Below are 22,400 nucleotides of genomic sequence, written 5' to 3'. Positions count from 1 at the left end.
AAATCACCCTTGCAGTGCTGGCGTGTAGCAGCAGTTCATTCCTCCTCTGTACTGTATAGTATTCCACAGTCTGAACACATCATGATTTACTCATCCATTCGACTATGATGAACATTTGGGTTGTTTCCAGGTTTTGGTTACTACAGAGTTGATATGAACATTCTTATACCTTTCTTTTAGTTAATATTTATACATTTCTTATATACAGCAAGAGGCAGAAAGAGATAGAGACAGGCATGGAACTGCTATGGCATAGGCAATGCATATGTTCTGCTTTAACAGATACTGCCAGTTTCCCCAGTGGCTGTGTCCATTTACACCTTCACCAACAGTAAATCAGTGTTCTCACTATTCCATGTCCTACCATCACTTAGTATCACCCTACCATTCCGGTGGGTACACAGTGAGATCACATTGTGCTTTTAATTTGCATTTCCCTGTTTACTAATGAAGTGGGACAACTTTTCATATGTTTACTGGCCATTGGGAGGCCCTCTTTTTGGAAGTCACTCACCCATTATCCTGAGGAGTTGCTTATCTTTCCATGTTATCCTTAACAAAAAAGTTTTCTAAAAAATTTAAGTATATAAATATTAGGAAAAAAATGTTTGCAGATTTGGTGAAAGGAGTACACTGTTAAGATAAAATTATAAATATCTGATAAAGTCGATTACATTAAAATTTAAAACTTCTAAGAGCTACCACAAAAGACAAGTGACAGATGAGAAAAAGTATCTGCAATATTAAGAGAAGACTGTGCATCCGAAATACATAATATATAAAGAAGACCTAAATGTCTATCAAAAAAAAAAAGAAAAAGAATCCAACAGAAAAATGGAGCAACAACATAGTCAGGAAGGGAAACAGAAGAGGAAATACAAATGAGCATTTTGTCATACAAAAACCTATAAGATGATACTATTTTCACCTATAAAACTAGCAAAAATCTAAAAATGTGGGTGAGACTGTTAATAAAAGGGTATTTTTATATACGGTTGGAGAAAATGAAAATTGGTAGTCTTTTCTGGAGAGCAATTTGATAGTATCCATCAACATGTTAAATGTGCATACTCTTAGACACAACAATTCCATTTCAAAGCAGCATACAAAAATATGCCTTTGTATACAAGTCTATATGTGCAAAAATATTTACTACAGCACCGCTCACTGTACAAGAAATTTTAAAACAATCCAAACACCCCTTGACTTGGGAATATTATCACATAGCCCTACCACAGAATAGTAAGCCAATAAAACCAAGGAGGCAAACTCTGTGTCTACTCACAAATAAAGACATCTGTGCTGAACAATATACAATATATATCCCATTTTTGTAAAAACAATTAACAAAATTCCAAATATTTAGGTACATACAGATGTACAGACATGATTAAAAGTGGGTGCATCTGGGGATGGAGCAGTAGCCTGCTGCTTTCTATTTGCTCTTTGAACCATTAGCATGTATGAACTCTGATGAAAAACTAACAAAAATGTCATTCACCCAAGAAAAATTTTTACTGAGCACTTATTATGTGTCAGGGAACTGGTAAATACACCAATCAATAACATATCAGGGAGTGCTAAGTACTTTGAAGGAAAACAATACAAGATAAACAGTACAAGTGAAACCAAGAAATGCTGACAGACAAGTCATAGCAGGTCCCTGGGGGAGCTAACAATCAGAACTGAGAACTCAAAGGATTGAGTGTGAAGAACACAGAAGTAGAAATGTGGGGCCACACTGGCAGGTTCCAGGAACAGTTAGGGGGCCACCATGGCTACAGCAGAGTGAGCAAAAGAATGAGCATAAATGAGTGCTGAGAGGGAGTAGGGCTGTCCTGTGGAAAGGACACCTCTGTATTCCACCCTTGGTGACAGGGAAACCACTGGGGTCTTGAGCAGAAAAGCGGAATCATCTGACATGTTTTAAAAGCACTACTCTGGCAGCTTAAGCAGAAGAAAGAGCTAGAATAAAGGTTCTGAGGCAGGGCCATTCCCAGCATGCTCTAAGTCTGGCAAGAAGTCCAAGTGTGGCCAAGCGAGGAAGTAAGAGAAGAACAGAGAGACTGGACACGGTGGCTCATACCTGTAATCCCAGCACTTTGGGAGGCCAAGGTGGGCAGATCACCCGAGGCCAGGAGTTCGAGATCAACCTGGCCAAAATGGCAAAACCCCGTCTCTACCAAAAAATTTAGCTGGGCATGGTAGCACGTGCCTGTGATCCCAGCTATTCAGGAAGCTGAGGCACAAGAATCGCTTGAGCCCGGGAGACAGAGGTTGCAGTGAGCTGAGATCACAACACTGTACTCCAGCCTGGGCAACAGAGTGAGACTCTGTCTCAGAAAAAAAAAAAAAGAGAGAAGTAACAGAGAGTACCAGGATGTATAGGAACTTGTCAGCCACTCAAAGAACTTGGACTTTTCCTCGGAATGTGATAAGAAACCATTCAAAGATTTTGGGCAGAATAATGGAATGACCTGATTGAGATTTCAAAGGATTAATCTGACCACTGTGCTGGAAAGACTTTAGGAATTCCAGCAAGGGCAGAAGCAAGACAGTGAATTAGGGTATTATTATGGGTTAAACAGTGTCCCCAAAAAAGATACATTTAAGTTTTAACCCCTTATACTAGCGAATGTGACCTTACGTGGAAGTAAGGTATTATGGATTGAATTCTGTCTCCCCAACAAAAAATAAGTTGGACTACTAACCCCCAGTAGCTCAGAATGTGACTTTATTTGGAGATAAGGTCTTTCAAAAGGAGAAATTTGGACACATGCATGCACACATGTGAAGATGAAGGCGGAGATCACAGTGATGCTTCTACACATCAACATGCCAAAGACTGTCCGCGAACACCAAAGCTAAGAGAGGAGGCTAGAACAGATTTTCCCTCACAGCTCTCAGAAGGAATCGACCCTGATTCTGGGGCTCATCACGGACTTCTGGCCTCCAGAACCATGAGACAGTCCATTTCAGTTGTTAAAGCCACCCAGTTTGTGGTAATTTTATTATGGCATCCCTAAAAACTAATAGACAGTATTCCCACAGTCCTGGCAAGAGACAAAGGTGGCCTGGACCATGGTAACAGCAGTAAGGAAGTGAGAGATAGTTGGCTTCTCAATCTATTCAGAAGAAGGAACCAGTGGGGTTTGCTGAAGGACTGGTTGAGAGATATAAAATAAAGAAGAGTCAAAGAAGACTCAAAGATTTTTGTTCTGAGCAACCAGGCAAAAGATTCTGCCATTTACTGAGATGGAGAAGATTGTGGGAAGTGCCAGTCTATGAGTGGTGAAATGAGGATTTAAACATTCAAGAGGAATGAAAGAAGAAAAACATGAAAAGAGCAAGAAGAGCTCAGCAAAGAAAATGAAGAGAAAGAGAAACAGAAGAACAGTTACAAAAGACAGAGTAAAAGCAACAAAACAGAATAACTACCAGGGAAAACACAAAGTCATGGGGAAGCAGCCAGAGGAAATCACACAGAATGAAACACATCGAATAACTGAAAACAGAGAACATGATAGGTACTGAAAACAGATAAAGGAGATCGAACATATGCATATTTATTATTCCCAAAAGATAATAAAAGAAATGGGGCAAAAGTCACATTCAAGTACACAACAGAAATTATCTTTCCTGAAATAAAGTAACACTTGAATTTGTGAATCAAAAGGTCATGCAATTTCTACAAAAAAACTGAATACAGAAAATCATTGAATCCTTGGACACTCAGGTGTAGTTGCTATGCTTCAAAGTTATTTTTTAAAAAGCCTTAGTGATAAATTATAAAAGATAAATACTGAAATGCAGATTGTAGAGTGAAATATAAATGTTGTACAAACTTTGAGCAAACCTCCTTGGGCTAATCTAGAGTGCCTCTCCAGAGTGATCCTACAGGACAGCAGCTAGGGGAAATCCTCCCCGTAGGACAGCTGGTAGAAGTACACTTGGCTTGCTACTTTGTATGAGAACTTGCCTGAGGTAACAAGATCCACAGACAGGTAGCTGGATAGTCAGAGGACTGAGAAGAGCAAAATAGGTAAATCACAGATAAGCTCAATGAAATCATCTAAAACTGAAATACATGGTTTTAAAAAATAAACTCTAACCTCAAACTTTTTGCAATACTCTTTTTCCCCTTAAATTGAGAGGGATCTTTCTAGAATTATTAAACTCTTATGGGAAGAAGCGTTTATCTAAAGTTCAGCAGTACCTTCTATTTTACTTCTATTGCTCTTCCTCCATTATATTTAAGAGAGATAAAGCACTAACTGGAAGAGAAGCAGGGTTTGTTTGATCAGTTTTATCTTGATTGGGAGAGACTTCAGTATGTTTTTACTGCGATCTTCATCGCACTTCTGATTCTAGTCAATTTCTAATATGAACCACTTGGACTCTGTCCCTTTGTCCCTTCCACAATCAAAAGGAGATGAACACTTTACATATCTCGAGCAATACTACTAAAATACTAGCAAATACTAGCAAAACCAGTGTGTTTGCTACAGAAAACACACTGGTTTACAAATATATCAGCTGTGGCTATAACATTTACTTACCCCCAACCACAGACACACTTTATCGGTAGGAGGAACTGAAGCTTTGCAATACAGGTTATCTGCCAGCAAGAATCTGGTCTCCATTGAGTTGGTGGACTCCTTCAAAACAAAAAAAAAAATGACAGTACCATAAACAGGCCAGTTTGATACCAAGGTTATAAAGGAGAGATTGCACAGTTGAACCTAGGACATTTAAAACAGTACCATCATGCAGGCTAAGTGTAGTGGTAAAAGAAATGAATGCTAGACCCAGGTGGCTGGGTATGGACTCTGGCTCAGCTACTCACTAGCTGTACAAATCTGGCATCTCACTTAACTTCTATATCTCAGGTTCTTCATCTGTAAAATGAGGATTACAACAGTCCCTACACCTATGAAGTCAGTGGTAAGCACTGAGTATACACAGACACACACACACCCCCGAGTGCCTGACATACAGAGAAGGCATTATTGTAAGAATTAGCCATTCTTCTATTATTTCATTGGTGCTTCATGCCCAATCAATCAGTTGCTGAAGTCTTACAAAGTTCACCACATATTAAAATGTACTAGAAATAGTTATTCTACCAGTCAAGCAAAATCATAAGCATACACACAATCTTTTAAATACAATATGCTTATGAGATTTAATCTTTACAACCTGCTTTTATTTAATGAATACTGGATTAAGACTTAGAAGACTCTCAAATTTAGTTCTGCCAGTAACTAACTACATAGACAATGGTCGAGTATAACCTCTCCATAACCATTTCCTCAACTATGAAATGAGAACCTGTAACAGATGATCTCTAAGATTCGTTCCAGCTCTATAAATCTTGGACTAACTCCTTATTCTTAGGGAGAAAGACAACAACAAAGAAAAAACCCTAGATGCTGCTAGCACAGAATAAGACATTTTCTTTGTACACCTAAAACAATTTCAAATTGCATTTAAGTTTCACAAGCACTAAAGATAAGCAAAGTAATCCAAGTGTGGGCCCTAGAATTAAACTTGACTTTTGGGGGAAGGCCACAAAGCCACATTTGCTACAGAAGCACATCATAACATTAGTGTATGTGCTTAAGAAGGCAGACTGGATTCCACAGCACAGATCAAATATCAGTGACCAAAGAGTCAAAGAAGACGAGTTTCTGCTGACATATCCTAGCTTGCTCATATTTACAAACAAAAATGCACTTACTTTTTTCTTCTGCATGTATTTTAGAATTTCCAAAGTCTGTTTAATTTCAGGAATCTGACCTTTTAGCCTGTGAACAAGAAAAAGAGTAACTTAGTATTTTGCAGGCAAAAATAAACAACAGGACACGGTCTTACTAACTTTGCATTTTCTACTAATGTGTTCTTGAGGACTATTTATAGATATAAAATACTTAAGATATTTTTAGATATGAGATAAAATAAGATATAAATATTTATAAAAATAAAATATTTAAAGAAATATTCACCAAAAGAAAATATATTTAGTAAAATATTCATAAAATATTTAAAGTATAAATACTTAATAAAAATATTTAAGATATACTAGTGAATGTTTATGGAATGCCCATTCCATGAAGACAAAGCTCTGTTCTATTATGTCAAATACCCCATGGCTATTTAACATTTCTAGAGCAGACTATATTCCACAGAGGTGATTCATAGGTTCTGCATTTGATTAGAATGAAATTTTAAATAGATTAATTTTAAAACTAATTTTAAAAATAACATGGATTCAAAAGTTACATTCTAAAATAGAAGACACCAATCCCCTATCCAGTGATGCACATAGCTACTCCTGGTGTGTGCATTGGGTATACACACATGTACATCACAGTCAGCTAAATGCCAGGCAAAGCACAGTGACACCTTCTCAGTATGTGCACTTGTCACACTGTGAAAAATGTACAGAATCATCTGAATGCCAAACACACCACATTATGATACAGTATAATTTAGTGATTCTTTTAAGCTTTGGGTATTTCTTCCTTAACTTTTATGTTGATAAATGCTCTTCTTTTCAAATGAGGTAACGATCGTTCTTAAAATTATAAATGGATCACTGATTTAAACACAAGAAATTTAAAAAAACAATGATGGACATGATACAACTGATCCGACTTAATGGATAAGTTATATGATAGCTACTAGCAAAATGCTAGTAAGTGACTCCCAAATGCAATCAACCTCACTGACAAGAACATAAGAGAAAAACAGTATGCTAAAAACATTCAGTCAATTAAAGAGAGAAAACAATGATACCGTTTTTGTCACTGGGGTTTAGCTCTTTATGGTAATTAGATGCATGTGTTTTGCATGGAGATATATGCAAAACAGTTCTAGGGTCTCTGTCAAATGTAATTTCTAGCAAAACAGACTAAGGATATAAAAACGAAGCTCTGGTTCTTTCGAGGTAAATTTACTAAATATTATTAGAGACCAAAATGTAAACAAAATATAAACACAACAATGAAAATGAACTTATTGCGTCACATAAAAGAAGTCACTCCATGTGTGCAGCAGGTTGGCAGGGCAAATTTACTACACCCTGTGCTACTGACCTGGCAAGAAATGTGTTAAATGAGCCTGCTGCTTAAGAAAAAAACATAGTGTCATCATTTGATAATACAGTCCAGTGAATAATCTAGAAACACCTAGCATTCATTTTTTCACTACAATTCAATCTGGATGCCATAGATTGCTCAAGTTTGCTTATTTTTGCATGATATGTTCATATAGGTAAACAGAAAGATGTTATACATTTGTAAAATATGTGATACACACACAACATAAGGAGTATGTTCAGATCAAGATTTTTTGTCATGTAAATGACTTTTAAGATGCATTCTGTATATATAAATATTATATGTAATATGCTATAAAGCATATTAATGAATCAATCAGATGCAGCCCTAGCTAACTTAGGAACCAGACCACCAATGACACAGCACATGCCCAAGCAATACACTCCTCCCTACCCTGCTTCACCTGAAGAGAAAGTAGCTTGGCTGGGCACAGTGATTCACGCCTGTAATCCCAGCACTTTGGGAGGCCGAAGCGGGTGGATCACCTGAGGCCAGGAGTTCGAGACCGGCCTGGCCAGCATGGTGAAACTCAGTCTCTACTAAAAAAAAATACAAAAAAATTAGCTGGGCGTGGTGGTGCATGCTTGTAATCCCAGCTACTTGGGAAGTTGAGGCGGGAGGATCCCTTGAATCCAGGAGGTGGAGGTTGCAGTGAGCCGAGGTAGCGCCACTGCTACCCACCAGGAGTGACTTAAATTACCCCCACCTCCACGTACATTACTGGCCAAAGTAGCTGATATCCCTGAGGGAATCTAAGCTGACAGGGAAAAGACATTATAATTTGATCATTATAATAAATAAAGACAATAAATTCAACAACCTCTACCATATGAAACAAAATTAACAAATACCAAAAGATAAAACTATACATTAAATACTTAAAGATACCACAAAGAGAAAAGAAAGGATATTGGTAATATGAAGAGGAACCAACCAGAACTACCAGCTATAAAAATCTTAACAGCTGAAACAAAGAACTCATGGCTATCCATCTAATTGCCAAAAGATAAATGACAAAGACAGAAAAAAGGGAAATAATATAAATAAATGGAAGGCAGAATTAGAAGTGTCAACATCTGTAAACAGGAATCCCAGAAAGAAAGAGGAAAAAAAATTAACAGACGATAGAAAAAGTGATAATCACAAAATTTCCAATTAAAGAAAGATAAAAGATCTCAGATTCAAGTGTCGAAAAAGAGATTAACACATGAAATACTAAGGAACTTTTACACAGCTTGAAGGGTAAAGTTAAATGACAGGCTGCAAGATTTACAACACATACAAAGAAAAAGGCTAGCCTCACCCTCACCCTCGCCCTCGCCCTCTTTGCATGGTCTCCCTCTGATGCCGAGCCGAGGCTGGACTGTACTGCCGCCATCTCGACTCACTGCAACCTCCCTGACTGATTCTCCTGCCTCAGCCTGCCGAGTGCCTGGGATTGCAGGCACGCGCCACCACGCCTGACTGGTTTTCGTATTTTTTTGGTGGAGACAGGGTTTCGCTGTGTTGGCCGGGCTGGTCTCCAGCTCCTGACCGCGAGTGATCTGCCAGCCTCGGCCTCCCGAGGTGCCGGGATTGCAGACGGAGTCTCGCTCACTCAGTGCTCAATGGTGCCCAGGCTGGAGTGCAGTGGCGTGATCTCGGCTCGCTACAACCTCCACCTCCCAGCCGCCTGCCTTGGCCTCCCAAAGTGCCGAGATTGCAGCCTCTGCCCGGCCGCCACCCCATCTGGGAAGTGAGGAGCGTCTCTGCCTGGCCGCCCATCGTCTGGGATGTGAGGAGCCCCTCTGCCCGGCCGCCCACTCTGGGAAGTGAGGAGCGCCTCTTCCAGGCCGTCATCCCGTCTAGGAAGTGAGGAGCGTCTCTGCCCGGCCGCCCATCCTCTGAGATGTGGGGAGCGCCTCTGCCCAGCCACCCCGTCTGAGATGTGAAGAGCACCTCTGCCCCGCCGCCACCCCGTCTGGGAGGTGAGGAGCGTCTCTGACCAGCCACCCCGTCTGAGAGGTGAGGAGCCCCTCCGCCCGGCAGCCGCCCCATCTGAGAAGTGAGGAGCCCCTCCGCCTGGCAGCCGCCCCGTCCGGCAGGTGGGGGGCAGCCCCCGCCCGGCCAGCCGCCCCGTCCGGGAGGTGGGGGGGTGCCTCTGCCCGGCCGCCCCGTCTGGGAAGTGAGGAGCCCCTCTGCCCGGCCGCCACCCCGTCTGGGAGGTGTACCCAACAGCTCGTTGAGAACGGGCCATGATGACGATGGAGGTTTTGTCGAATAGAGAAGGGGGAAATGTGGGGAAAGGAAGGAGAGATCAGATTGTTGCTGTGTCTGTGTGGAAAGAGGTGGACATGGGAGACTCCATTTTGTTCTGTACTAGGAAAAATTCTTCTGCCTTGGGATGCTGTTAATCTATAACCTTACCCCCAACCCCGTGCTCTCTGAAACATGTGCTGTGTCCACTCAGGGTTAAATGGATTAAGGGCGGTGCAAGATGTGCTTTGTTAAACACATGCTTGAAGGCAGCATGCTCGTTAAGAGTCATCACCACTCCCTAATCTCAAGTACCCAGGGACACAAACACTGCGGAAGGCGGCAGGGCCCTCTGCCTAGGAAAACCAGAGACCTTTGTTCACATGTTTACCTGCTGACCTTCCCTCCACTATTGTCCTATGACCCTGCCAAATCCCCCTCTCCGAGAAACACCCAAGAATGATCAATACTAAAAAAATTAAAAAAAGAAAGAAATAGGCTGAACTCACTTATGAACAGAAATTCAAAAATCCTAAATAAAATAATAGCAAATTGAAAAAAAAAAAAAACAAAAAGGCTAGCATGTAAACTACATAGAGCCATCTGCTGCAAAACAACTAGATCATGACACAAAAATAGTTTTGTTGCATAGCTGACATCATAGGAGTGAGAGAAATTCCAGAAAAATAAAAAGAGAAAAGTAGCCCTCCAACTACTTGGGAGGCTGAGATGGAAGAATTGCTTGAACCCAGGAGGTCAAGGCTGCAGTGAGCTGTGATCACACCACCGCACTCTGGCCTGGGCAACAGAGAGAAAGCCTGTCTCAAAAAAATGACCAACCCACTATTAAAATAGGTAAAACTCAAGAAAATTTTCCTAACTCACTATCTCCAACTCTACCATTCTCTTTTAAAACACTAGACAAACACTGTTCTCATCCAGAACACCAACGTTCACTGATGTTTCCTAAGTGCTTTGAATTTTTACCCCTTCTCCCCACATTTAGGCCTAGACCATATGTTAAGCTAGAGTGAGTATCCTGCTACATACCACAGTTGTAGAGTTAGCAATATAACTTTTTTCTTTTTTTTGTTTTTGTCTATCATTAATTTACTAGTTAGAAGAGCAATTTAAGTTTGATACGCAAATTTCCCCCTCTCCCAGGACTTGGTCCCAAGGCCCATTTTCTTTTCCTTTTTTTCTTTCTTGAGACGGGGTATCATCACTCTGTTGCCCAGGCTGGAGTGCAGTGGCACACTCACAGCTGACTGCAGCCTCAACCTCCCTGGCTTAAGCAATACTCTCACCTCAGCTTCCCTAGTAGCTGGAACTACAGGCATGCACCACAACACCTAGCTAATTTTTGTAGATATAGGGTTTTGCCACGTTGCCCACACTGGTCTTGAACTCCTGGGCTCAAGCGATCCGCCCACCTTGGCCTCCCAAAGTGCTGGGATTACAGGCATGAACCACTGCACCCCGCCCCAAGGCACATTTTCTTCTCTATCTGTAACCTCCCTGTAGGTGATCTCAAATCCAATGGCTTTATTTTTCTTTTTCAAATAAACTTTTACTATCACAAAAGCAGTACATGTACATTGTAAAAAATTAAGAAAACAGCTAAGCAAAAACAAGAAAAATGCCATATTCTAACTACCCAGAGATTACCACTGTTAATATGCCTTTAGTGTGGATTTCTCCAGATATTCCTGTGCATACATACATTTTTTTCCAAAACGAGAGCACACTGTTCTTAATGTTTTCTATCTTGCTTCTGTCCATTAACACTCTCCATCTTTCCATGTCAATGACTTTTCATCTCATCTAATACTCAGTACATATTCAACTTTGTACAACTGTCACCAAAATCAAATGAGAAAATATACCTACAAACTTCTGTACCTTTGCATAAATGGTGCCTTAGGCCCAGACTACCCCTTCCTCACTTTAGTCTGCCTCCAAACTCACAACTAATCTTTGAAATTCTACACAGCTATCTGTTCCTCTTAGAAGCTTCCTCTGAACCTCCTTGGCCCCTCCAGGTTAATGAGGTGCTTTGGTACAAAGTAATGAGTTACCATCCCCCTGTACCTCTACTGTTCTACTTTGTGTGCTAATTTTATTTATATACCTATAATTTCCACCAAACTGTGTCCCTAGTTTTTTGTGTGGTTTGTTTGCTTTTTAGACTGGGTCTCGCACTTTTGCCGAGGCTGGAGTGCAGGGGCATGATCACATCTCACTGCAGCCTCAACGTCCTGGGTTCAGGCGATCCTCCCACCTCAGCCTCTAGAGGAGCTGTGACCACAGATGCATGCCACCATACCCAGCTAATTATTACTATTATTATTTTTGAGATGGAGTCTCACTCTGTTGCCCAGGCTGGAGTGCAGTGGCACAATCTCGGCTCACTACAACCTTCGCCTCCCGGGCTCAAGCAATTCTCCCAACTCAGCCTCCCGAGTAGCTGGGATTACAAGCGCATGCCACCACGTCTGGCTAATTTATTTGTATTTTAGTAGAGACGGGGTTTCACCATGTTGCCCAGGGTGGTTTCAAACTCCTGAGCTCAGGCAATCTGCCCACCTCAGCCTCCCAAAGTGCTGGGATTACAGGTGCGAGCCGCCGGGCCCAGCCTAATTATTTTTTAATTATTTGTAGAGACGGGGGTCTCCCTATGTTGCCCAGGCTAGTCTTGAACTCCTGGACTGAAGTGATCCTCCCACCTCAGCCTCCCAAAGTGCTGGAATTACAGGTTTGAGCCACCATGCCCAGTCCTGTGTCCTTGTTGAAAGCAGATACTGGATGTTATTTCACCCAAAACAGTATGTGGCATCTAGCTGGCATTCCATAAATATTTATCTTACAGAAGAATGCTGGCACATGCACAAAACAGAGATCTATAAATATTTATTACAGTGAATTGACTTTATAAGCTATATAAAATAATGTAGGGAAATAAAGAGTTGAGAGTAAGGATAGCTTTTTTCCTATGCCTATTAGTTATGAAATCTTGGGATTTCATAACTAATTAAGTCTTATGCCCAGACTCTGTGGGTCTCTAATCTCACTGGCAAAATTAGAAGGATGAACTAGACATATAAGACGTTATGATTTTGAAAGCTTTGGAATACAGTCTTTAACAACCATTCTATTATGTTTTCAAAACCACATTTAGACTGGCAATACCAAGTGTTGGCAAGGATACGGAACAACTGGAACTCTTGTACGTTGCTGGTGGGAATTTCATATGGTACAGCCACCTTGGAGGACTGAACACTTGACATCTGAATATTTTATTATATGTAAATTATATCTCAATTTTTTAAAAGTTCAAGTCATATAAGATTTTCAAAACTTAGAAATTTTTACACTTACCTTCTTTTCTTTTGAGCAAGGTTGAGTTCCATAAACTTATACTTCTGGTACTGTTCATCCAGCTTCTTTAATACTGTATCTGCAGTCTCATTCCCAGGCTGTTTCATGAAGGAATCTACATCTTCCTTTAATATCAAAAATAATACTTTACAAATTTTAGAATTCATGCCACTCAGATTTTTTGACTGCTTTGTTTTTAAAACATAGAAGAAAAAAAAGCTTTGTTTTTCTCCAAAGGTTTGTTTTTAACTAAAAGTACAGGTTAAGCACCCTTATCTAAAATGCTTGGGACCAGAATTGTTTTGGATTTTAGATTTTTTTTTTTTTTTTAGATTTTGGAATATTTACATTATACCAGTTGAGCATCCTCAATCCAAAAATCCAAAGTCCAAAATGCTCCAATGAGCATTTCCTTTGAGCACTATATTGGTGTTCAAAAAGTTTTGGATTTTAGAGCATTCTGGATTTCAGATTTTCAGATTTAGGATGCTCAACCTGTAGTTATAAAAAGTTAGAGACAATTTCAGATGGTACATATATATTATATAGCTAATTTATTCTTTCACTTTCCTCTTCATTTTTTATTCAAAAATAGGAAAAGAAGAATGACCTTGCCCACCACTTTATGCATTTCCCATGCATCCCTAGTAGTAAATATGAAACTAACAATCAAATACATTGCCTATTCATGCATCCTATTCACAAAATGATTTTACAGGTTGCATGTCAAGATTATCAATTTTATTACTTATTTTTAATTCAACAAGTTTTACCATAGAAATCATACTAAATATGGTTACTGGGTTCCCAAGGCAATCCACAAATGCTTCCTTCAGTATCAAATAACTGAAACAAAGTAAACCTAAAAGGCAAACAGAATAATCTTTTGTAACAGTAATAACTGATCAAAAGAAAAGCAGTAAAACTGATGTTAAAATATTTTTTATACCACATGCTGATCCTTGAAGAAAGGCTAGTTAATTAGATAAGGATCAGAAACAAGATGAAAATATATGAAACTTAAAAGAGATGCTACAAGAGTCGTCTAGTACTTTACAGAACTCTAGTTCTTTATTATAAGTAACTTCAATTATCTTATAGCTTCTAAGATCTTCACATCATTATTCTTATCCATATTTACTAGCTACCAGAGAATATCTTAGCTGAAACAAGGAAGAAAAAGGAAGAGAAACACAGCAAGGGAGTGAACTAAGAAGCCATCAAACTAGACAGTAAAGGAAATTGAAAAGGTGAGGCTGAGAGATAATGGCTGAGTTCTGTATGTTAAAGAGAGATGCCATCTTCCTAGAAGGGTCACTGCAGGGAAGAGAAAGAAGTGTAAGTTTCTGGCACATGATACATGTTATCAGGTGCTGGAGTTTAGCAAGAATTAACTATAGCGGCATAGGCTGTGGTTAAGAGACAGGAGGTGCCTGGTTTGAATCCCAGCTTCGCCACTCATTAGATGAGTTGACCTTAGGGAAGTTATTTAACCTCTCTTTGCCTCAATTTCCTCATCATCTGTACAAGTACCTTTTCGTCACCAGGGATTAAATGAGTTAGCATATGTGAAACGCTTATAAGAGTACGTGACACCTATGTATAGCATAATGTGCCACAGGGACACAAAGTGCCAGGGATTTTGTTTTGGGGTAGAGGTCAGAGAAAACTACAGGGAGATGATATCTGAACTAGATGTGGAAAGATGAAGAGGTCATGAAATGGACAAGGGTGAAACAACAATTCAAGCAGAGAAAGAAAACAAATTACTGCCTCAGCGGGGTTGGGGAATGGACTGGGTCTGACTTCTAACCACTATGGTATATTGCTTCCTATCATCATGAATATTAATACCTATTCGACACCTACTACACTGCAATACTGCAAGCATGTTCTCTGTTTCCCATAACAACTCTCTAAGTATTGTCATCCCTATTTCAGTTAAAGAAACTCAAGCTCAAAGTGGTAAAATAATATGCTTAAGGTTAAGCAGCAACTGGGAAGCAGAGCCAGGATTCAGACCCTGGTCTATTTAGAGGCCAATAATCTTTCTACAATACCATGTCACTTCAATTATTAATAGTTTGGAAACATAAACAGTTATATAAAATTTGGGTTGCTTATTACATTATGTTGGTAGAAATTTTAAGGTCTAGAAAAAAATAACCACGACATTGTAGGGAAAAAGCATTTCAAGACATTATAAAGCCCTCAGATAAAGTGTCTCCTCCCGAGTTAGATTTCTGACGCCATCTCTAGCTGAGCACCATGAATGTAACATTTAAGGCCCTATGGAAATTCAATTAGACACTTAGTTTGAGCTTATACTATGTGTGAGGCACTATGCTATGACCAGGAGAAGTAGGGCGATTCATGAGAACTACCTCACCTCCTCCCAGTAGCAGAGCATGAGGGGTAAGCTGCCAGTCTGGACCTCCACGGATTGTCCAAGTTCAAACCCTGGATACCTCACTTACATCCTGTGTGGCCTGGGGCAAGTTACTCAAGTGCCCCGTACCTCAGTTTTATCATCTAAAAAACGGGCATAACAGTAGTAGCTACCACCTCGAGTTTTGTAAAATCATTAAGAAAGTGCCTGGCACTCAACAAATTTTATTCCTTGTTATGGTTAGATAATAGATCAATGTAGAGAAATAAATGACACAGCTCATAAAAACACAAAATAATAACCAATTACGAAATTCAATCAGCAAATGCGAATATACAATATCAAGTGTGGTATAAATAAATGAGTCTTTAGAAGGATATAAGACGTAGTTAGTAAAAAAAAGGCAGAGGTAAGGTAAGGTACAAACCAAAAGATTGAGAAACTTCCATGAAGATTTTATAGTAGCTAAGTGGGGACAGACAGATGACCTGGCCTGGAGGGCCAGTCAGATGTTTTCTCTCATTAGTCAAATAGTTTTCAACTACTATTTCTAAATTAAATAAATAAAATAAAATTTTTAAAAAGCCACCCAGCACAGGCAGCGCCCTCCAGAACGGCCTGTGGAGCAACCCGATCCCCTCTAGGACACTAGCGAACCTGGGACCTAGCGCCATCAGGAGGGTTCAGCCTCCTCTCTCAACAATTCATTCTCCACTAAGTTGTTAGAATGATGTAGTTAAAACGAAAGGCCTTCTGATGACAGCCCGTTGCCTACTGGAAAACCTCAATTCCTTAGCAAGACACAGAAGGACTTTACACTCCCAACCTATCATCCTATTTTCCCATCGGTCTCTTCTTCCATTTCCCGAGGCAACATTCCCGAGACCACTGCATTCCTTCAACAGACAAAGTGATATTCCCGGTTTTCACATCTTAGCACTGGCTGTTCTGCCTATTCATTGTACTGTGTCTCCAGCATCCATGCTGAGTCGAGAGCTCCTCACCACCTCCCCTTTTCCAACCAGCAGGGGGACGAAAACCGGCGGCAGCCCGGAGGTCCCTCAGGCCGCCCTGCCCTGCCACCCGCCGCCCCTCGCCCCTCGCCCCTCGTCCCGGCCCCGCACCCCGTTCTCTTCTACGGCCTTCTCGAGCTACGTTTCTTCCGGGCGGGCCCCCAGCAGAGCTCAATCTGTCCAGGTGCGAGGGGTGAGAGCAGACCGAGCGCCCCCTCCCTGAACACTTGGCTCAGCTCCTTCCAACAGTCGAGGCCTGGGTGGGAGCCGGGAAGAAAGGGGCAGTCCAAGGCCTCAAGCCAAGATGCCAGGGAACAGCGTGCCTCTTACCACAAACACGGCCTCAGGAATCCCCAGGTGGAGCCGCCGCCCATTCCCTGTGGCCATTTCTCCTTTGCCACAACTGTCCTTAACGGCCGCCATCTTGGGGATGCGAGCGCGCGACTGCCTCCCGGGCCGCCGGCCGCCGGGATTCCGTGATTGGCTTGTTCGCACTTGCAGGCCCGCCTCTCCATCTCCATGCACATTCATTGGTGCGCAGGGAGCGTCCCCCACAAGTCCCCGTTCTCCTTTGGCCGAAAGTAGCCCAACCTCTAGGTGCTGATTGGCTGCGCTCAGGTAAGTGACAAGCGTGGAAGGGCCGCGAAAGAGAAGCTGGAGCGACAGGAAAAACCCATACGTCCTCCTGGGAAAAGGGGTCTTGTGAGTGAGCGGTGCTAAAGCCCTAGGAATAGGGACCTAGCCTGACCCCACCCCGACCCTAGAACTGGCAGCAGCCTTCGCAATGGCCTCTGGAGCGACCCAATCCCCTCTCTCGGATGCTAGCGAACCTGGGACCTAGCGCCATCACGAGGGTTCAGCCTCTGTGCCTTTCTGGTCTCACCATCCCAGGGAGCTTCCTGCCCCTTGAAGGGAACTTACTTTGTGTCTGTTTCAGAGTGGTCACTGGCCTCATTCTAATAAATACCCTGCCTGTCGCACCAGCCTTTCCTGAAAGCCACCTTTGATCAGAATGTCTTCTCTCCAGCTCAAACGTTTCCAAAACTTCATAGTCTACATACAAAATCCTAAGAACTCCACCTAGGCTTCTAGGCCCATGGACTTACCCAATGTCATCCTACACTACAACCCTTTAAAAGCACATGTGTCATACAGAACCAAGTAATTATTCTTCGGGCTCTTTTCTGTGCTTTATTTCACTGGAGTGTTTCCCAGTGAGGCAGTGCTTCATCCACTTGCACAAATTCTACCATGAGCCTAAGAATTACGCAATGGAAAGTAAGTCTCTCTTCTCAGAGGCAATCACTGTTACCGGTTTATCTCCGCACATAATGTACGATCAAGCATATAGACATAGATATGTCTTTAGATATAATATGAGGAAGAAATTGGTATCGTCATATTGTGAATGAGGAAACTAAAGCTCAGTGAACCTGTACAGCTCCTCCAAAATCCTACAACTACATAGTAGTGAAGCCGGAATTCCAAACTAGTTCTCCAGTGGCTTCTATGCGATTTGGCTTGGGAGGATGAAGACATGTTAGCTAACCATGACTCTGACCTTTTCTGGTCAGCAGTTTTGTAAGATAATGTCTCTGTTCCTGGAGAGAAAAGTATATGGGAATTCTATTCTTCACCACTCTCCCCCACCTCAGTGCCTTCCAAAAAAAAATTTTGTTTTTGAAAAGTAGGTAACGTTTCTACAGAAAAACATTGAGATATCAGATACACATGCAAATTTTGTTCAACTTCACTGATCCCTATCTATATTAATCATTGTTAGAACCAATCAAGGACTTACTTCAAACTTTAGGAAATATTTCTCCAAATTATCACTAATTTTAATTTGGAATAAATCCCTCTAAGAGATATAGTATTTGACACTTCGGGCCAGGTTTTTCTTTTGGAGCCAAAAGCCTTATCAGCTTATCGCTCATGTTTTACTCCCTTACAGGTACAAACAGAAGATTCCCTTATTTATACTGCTGAATATATTTCCTTTCTAGTGTTCTCTTAATTAGAAAGTTGTATACCAATTCTTTCCTTCCTGCCATGGCTGCAGCAGCTTTTCCAAGAGTACACTAACCTTATCAACTCTATAGGTGGTCATTTTCTTATCTCTTAGCAAAAAAAAAAAGGAAAAGAAAAAAAAAAAAACCTTCCTCTTGCCAGATCCAAATCTAGCTATTACCTGACTAAATATGATTGGTCTTTAGCAACCCTTCAGTAGCCCACACCTTTTACAGCTTATCTTTAGATTGCTTTAATAAAAGCATTTTTTAAAACAGACTTTAAAAGGTTGTAGTTTTTCACCATGGACACTTTTGAAACAAAACAAAACAAAATGTAAAGAAAATACGCATACAACAGGAAACAGAACAACTTAAACAATCATTTCACGTAGTGTTGTGCTGATAAATGTTCAACTAATTCTCTTTAGAAAGGGGGTATATATTTATTATAAATTGTATTGATGTAAAAGGTGTATAGCACACAATTTCATAAGTGATAATAAAATATACAATACTCTTTATCGTTAATTCTGTATAACCAATTCTGACAGGATGCTTTTGATTTTTGCCAAATACATATCTCCCTAGACAACCTACAGTTGCAATTGATGAACTAGTGTAGTTCTGACATGAATGTTGCTTGATATTTTCATTTATGTTAAGTAATAAGAAAAAAGTAATTCAACAATTATTTTTATATTGGTACTTGGATCATTCATCAACAATGTGAGTGATTTATTTGCTGAATTGGATAATGGTTTTCAAATACCAGAAAAATATTGCCTCATTTTATGGTGCTGTTCACAATAATGGCTACAGACACAACTCACTTTTAAGCTGAATCTGCATTAGTAACATTTTCTCCATTGCTTTCAAGTCTAGAGTGACAAACATAGATCAAGCCGTAGTTTGTAGCATCTACCAATTTCTGTAGCCTGGATACTCCCACAATGGCTGATTTCAATCCATGTCGAGTTGGGAGGACATGCCCAGTAGCACACAGATACAATCGATGTAAATAACCTCAAGAGCATAGGTAACATTCAAATGTCGAAAAATAATTAGAAGGTGATAAATTTTGAATATTTATTACCTTTGCCTTTAAAAGAATTTAATTGTAAATTTTTATAATTTAATTTTAAATGATGGCTGTGTTTAACAACCATCTTGCAGAATTTCTAGAAATTTAACAATTGGTTCTCACAAGCTGGTACAAGCCAGCTCTGGTGCACCACTGGCTCATATTTTGGGAAGCCAGAGTTTAATGACTTCAGTGAATAGTACCTGTAAATGTCACACTAATGTGCTCTGCAGAGAAGGAAGAAAATGATGTGACATACAATTGGAGTCCCCTGGAAGAAGAGGGTGATATCCTTAGCAACTTCCAGAACCCAGATAACCAAGAGTTGACTTAAATTTGTACAGCCGGGAACCGACAACAACTCTCACTCCATCTTTGCCTGGAAGCTTTGTGCAGGTAACAGGTTCTGTCCCAATCTCCACAAGCCTCTGAAATTACTCTGAAGAGCTGCAAATCCTGAGGCTGGGGGAATGTGTCTCCTTTTTCCTGAGCCTGGTCACTGGGGTCATTTCCTCCCAGGAAGCCCACTGGGAAAGAGCCCAAGGCCTTCAGAGAGATGCCAAGCATTTCAGGATGTTCTGAGACAGCCTCTGCTCGACCTTCTGATTCAGTTTCTAATCCTGACTTCTGAGAGCAGAAAGTGCAGTTTCCCCTAGGGGCTTTGGAACTCCCCTGGAGGGCACTCAACTGTGATAGTGCTCCTGCATGCTAAGCCACCCCAGCCTCTTGGGGCTATTTCCTAGTAAGTCAGAATACATGTGTATTCTATTTCCAGACATGCCAATGGGCCTCCATACTCACTACCCTGGGTTGTTGAGTGTGCTGGTAGTGTTCTCACTGTGTATTGTTATTGTATCTTCAGTGTTTTTGCTCTGTTTATACAAGAGAGGACAAGGTAGGATTTTCCTAGACAAGGTAAAATGTGGCAATGTGATTTCCTTTTTCCTGGGACTGATGTTATTTATCCAAGGTGATGTGGAGAGGTCCTTTGTTCAGGGAACTAACCCTTCTGCAACCCCCACCCCACCACCTCATCTGCCAGAATGATGGCCCTGGGGACTCCCAGACATTACCCTGCTTTATTTCCAGAATCCATTTCTAGGCTTGCCACTGTGTAATAGGCCCTAGAACTTGGGTTCTAGTTTAACCCTGTCATTTAACAGGCTGTGCCTCATTAGACAAGTGTCTTCACCTATCTAGCTCAGTGTCCTCACATGTGAAATGTGAGCTTTGGACTAGAGGATCTCCAGACTCACTTCTAGTGCTAATACATTTTGACTACGACCTCTGGTGAGTCATCAGGGCACTAGTACTAATTCTGCATCCCATGGTTGTCACTAGATCCCACTGGATCCTCCGGGTTCCTTCTGTAACTATGCAATTCTCAATTTAGAAAACCTGATCTTGGGCCCCAAGGTGAGTAATTACACCCTCCAAATCCCTCTGCCCCCATGTCCACCCAAGCTCTTCCTTTCCAACCAAACCCAATAAAAAGCATGGATGTAAAAAGGTTCAAACTCTGCTTTCATGTTCCTGAATCTCCTTTGGGCCGGACTCCTTAGGATACATGAAGACCTTCAGTATAAGCCATGGTAAATTCCCAGTCACAAGTTTTCCTGTATAATAATTGGGAGAGATGGTGCATTTCCAGCACAATGGTTAAGGCTAAGAGCATGCACTTTGCAGTCAAGCTTGATTATTTATTGGCTATGGGATATTAGGTTAGTTACTTTAACACTGTCTCAGTTTTCTCCATTGTAAAATAACCATAATAATAGGGCTTTGGGCACATATTATTAAGTAGATTGAATGGAATTACACATAATAACATACTTGATACTGTGCCCAGTACCTAGTAAGCCCTCAATAAATTTCAGCTACTGTCCTGATAATTGAAAGGCATGGATATGGCACAGAATAAGAAACTCAAGGGTTTGAGACATGAGCCATAACATGTCATGATAATGGCCTCATGATGGGGAGAAATCACACAGCCTGCTCATAGCATGGGAGATCTGCAGGGTCCCTCAGATAGACATCTGTTTTAAATCCCTCACAGCCTCCTGGGGAGGAAGAAGGGCTATTCTTCACATATACAGATAAGAGAGAGCATTCAGTCTGGCTCAGGACTAACTCCTAAAACATTGGAGCCCCATGATATTGCACAGCTCACTGGGCCTGCTATTTGTGGATATGTTGAAATGCCTTGAAATATGAAAGCCCAAAAATACGACCAACTCTTTTCAACTTGACTCTAAAATGTCTGATGTCAGTACCAAAGAAAAGGAGAAGCTGAGACGAGTGCCTCTATCAGCCTATAAATACTTAAGGGTATGGACTTGTTTCTCTTGCCTTTGCTTCTCTGGGCCTCACACTGAGCTTGATAACTGATCATTATTTATTGATCAAGTTGATCAATATTTATTGCTTGATCATTATTTATTGACTGTGTGAATCAAGCAACAAATGTTTGTGGAGCATGTACAATGTGCTCAACATTGAGGTAGTGAAGATAAATTACACTAGAAGAATCCGATGCAGTGTATAACTGGAGATAATAAATCTAGTTAAGAAACTAAGACACTCACATGAAAAACCACCTAGCTGGGCAAGACAGTTAATGCTAAGTGCCAGAGACACTAAGTGTAGTGGGACTCCATCTTGCATGGAAGACCTGCTTTTGCCTACACATTGGAAAAAATTCTGGATTTGGAGCCAAGAAACCTTGGAAGTCATCTCTCTTAGGGCCTCCATTTCCTCTTCCTAAAGAGGATTTTGGAATTGCTAATCTCTAGAAAATTCATCACCTTTCACATATTGTAGTCTCTGTTTATTTGTGATACAGATGATGGCTCAAAAATAACGGTGTGTGGGCACATTACAGTTTCAAGAAAGCCAAGCCAGCAGAGACCAGAATACTTGATGAAATTTCCCATGGCAAGGTGAGTTTATGTTAGTTACTCAGGGATCACACTCCCTGCCCAAGACAAGGAATCATAGGCAACCATTGCTCTTGCTGTTACTTAGAGAGCAGCTACAGCAATTACATGCTGGGAGTCTGGAGAGTCTGCTCAGGAAATCAATTTCAGCAAAATGATGCCATCAGCCTTGCTATGAGGACAGGAAGGAAGCGAATTGTCACTCCATGGCAGTCTTCAGGGGATGAAGTCC

General features: G+C 41.0%; 1 protein-coding gene across 4 annotated transcripts in view, besides 4 other annotated features; it reads right to left on the bottom strand.

Annotated features, from left to right (window-relative positions):
* The window catches only part of VBP1 (VHL binding protein 1), a 42,835-nt gene that overhangs the window by 6,800 nt on the left and 13,635 nt on the right, over positions 1 to 22,400 (bottom strand). The window contains exons 1-4 of one of the 4 annotated variants that reach the window (NM_001303543.1): positions 16,467 to 16,769; positions 12,735 to 12,859; positions 5,741 to 5,807; positions 4,560 to 4,658 (exon numbers count right to left, since the gene is read on the bottom strand). In NM_001303543.1, the coding sequence (NP_001290472.1) occupies positions 4,560 to 4,658; positions 5,741 to 5,807; positions 12,735 to 12,859; positions 16,467 to 16,667 (492 nt within the window). In that variant the 5' untranslated portion in view covers positions 16,668 to 16,769. Of the gene's footprint in view, positions 1 to 4,559; positions 4,659 to 5,740; positions 5,808 to 12,734; positions 12,860 to 16,466; positions 16,770 to 22,400 lie in introns of those variants that run through there. The other 3 variants (NM_001303545.1, NM_003372.7, NM_001303544.1) reach the window with 3 other exon arrangements.
* Positions 16,141 to 16,929: an enhancer, noted in NCBI's record as "H3K27ac hESC enhancer chrX:154444390-154445178 (GRCh37/hg19 assembly coordinates)". NCBI's record gives its function as "activates a minimal SCP1, AML or CMV promoter by ChIP-STARR-seq in naive H9 embryonic stem cells {active_cell/tissue: H9 hESC(naive)}" and the evidence as "EXISTENCE:reporter gene assay evidence [ECO:0000049][PMID:30033119]".
* Positions 16,199 to 16,288: a silencer, noted in NCBI's record as "silent region_21123". NCBI's record gives its function as "represses an Ori minimal core promoter by ATAC-STARR-seq in GM12878 lymphoblastoid cells {active_cell/tissue: GM12878}" and the evidence as "EXISTENCE:reporter gene assay evidence [ECO:0000049][PMID:35858748]".
* Positions 16,459 to 16,538: an enhancer, noted in NCBI's record as "active region_30077". NCBI's record gives its function as "activates an Ori minimal core promoter by ATAC-STARR-seq in GM12878 lymphoblastoid cells {active_cell/tissue: GM12878}" and the evidence as "EXISTENCE:reporter gene assay evidence [ECO:0000049][PMID:35858748]".
* Positions 16,536 to 16,830: an enhancer, noted in NCBI's record as "tiled region #7862; HepG2 Activating non-DNase unmatched - State 1:Tss, and K562 Activating DNase unmatched - State 1:Tss". NCBI's record gives its function as "activates a minimal TATA promoter and a strong SV40 promoter by Sharpr-MPRA in HepG2 and K562 cells {active_cell/tissue: HepG2 | K562}" and the evidence as "EXISTENCE:reporter gene assay evidence [ECO:0000049][PMID:27701403]".

This window comes from Homo sapiens, chromosome X (assembly GCF_000001405.40).
Source record: "Homo sapiens chromosome X, GRCh38.p14 Primary Assembly".
NCBI classification, from domain to species: domain Eukaryota; kingdom Metazoa; phylum Chordata; class Mammalia; order Primates; family Hominidae; genus Homo; species Homo sapiens.
This window is presented reverse-complemented; position numbering and strand designations above follow the sequence as displayed.